At 46.2% G+C, this 1,275-nt stretch overlaps 1 annotated feature.

Annotated features, from left to right (window-relative positions):
* Nucleotides 544-1,043: an enhancer, noted in NCBI's record as "H3K27ac hESC enhancer chr2:222236463-222236962 (GRCh37/hg19 assembly coordinates)". NCBI's record gives its function as "activates a minimal SCP1, AML or CMV promoter by ChIP-STARR-seq in primed H9 embryonic stem cells {active_cell/tissue: H9 hESC(primed)}" and the evidence as "EXISTENCE:reporter gene assay evidence [ECO:0000049][PMID:30033119]".

Raw genomic sequence — 1,275 nt, forward strand, 5'->3', positions numbered from 1 at the left:
TTCTTGAGTATTTTTATACAAATTGGATTATGACACTCAGAGTCTTCCCTTGCTCATCAGGAGCTGCTCCCTAAGAAAGAGCAGAGCAGGGTGGCCGGGAGCAGCATGTCACAGGCCCTCCACATCCACGTCACACATCCTTACTCCGCCTGACCCAGAGAGGCATTTCAGTGCATGACTTTGAAGTTGAGGAAAGAAGATGGAAATAGAGCAGAGAAAAAAAGCTGTAGAGTGACCAGCCCTGCCTCATCCACACCCCAGCCTCATCCTTCCTCCTGCTCCGTCGCCAGTTGGCCCCGCCTACCATTTGCTTTCCCCCCACCACCCCTCCCGGAGACGGGTCTCACTCTGTCACCCAGGCTAGAGTGCAGTGATGCAATCATGGCACACTGCAGCCTCAACCTCCTGGGCTCAAGTGATCCTCCCACCTCAGCCTCCCGAGTAGCTGGGACTACAGGCACACACCATGACATCTCACAATTTTTTTTTTCCTATAGATACAGAGTCTCACTATGTCATCCAGGCTGACCCCAATCTCCTGAGCTCAAGCAATCCTCATACCTTGGCCTCCCATAATGCTGGAATTACAGGTGTGAGCCACTGTGCCTAGCCCCTACCATCTGTTGCTTGATACTGTAGGACCATGGTCTAAGGAGCTCTCTGTGCCACAAAGACTTTCTCAGGTGAGGGTTGAGGGAAAGAGGCCAGCTAGGGTGCCAACGCCTTACTCTTAGGTCTAAATCTGTTAATAGTTCAACTATATTTGCAAGAGTTACTTAAAAACCTTTTTTTTTTCCTATTACTATCCCAAAGTATTATACCATACATTGCTTCCAGTGAAAATACTAGGCACTATATGGACAATTTTTTTTTCCTTTTCAAAATATATTCAAAATTTGAAGTTCGGGACGCCCTTCATGCTTTAGTTAAACTAAGACTTAGATGATCCTTCTACTGACAAGTCTGGTTAGCAATAAAAGAAACAACAAAGAACTGCAATGGCTAGAAAAGTAAAATATCAGACATTCCAAAATTATTTTCCAGGCTCCTCTGCCGACCTCCTACAAAAACCTCCGGTTTCCTTGGAGTGCTAGTTAAAAACCACTGCTGCACTGGCCTCCTGCTCTTTCTTAGGTATGTAGCCAGCCTCCCACCCACAGAACCCAGCCATCCCGGCAAGTGCAAGCACTCAGCATTGCAAATGAATGCAATTAGATGGAACAATAAGTAAAAATAAAGTTCACCTAGAACAGACATGAGACAAATTTTCTGGAG

The sequence above is a fragment of the Homo sapiens genome, chromosome 2 (assembly GCF_000001405.40).
Source record: "Homo sapiens chromosome 2, GRCh38.p14 Primary Assembly".
NCBI classification, from domain to species: Eukaryota; Metazoa; Chordata; class Mammalia; order Primates; family Hominidae; genus Homo; species Homo sapiens.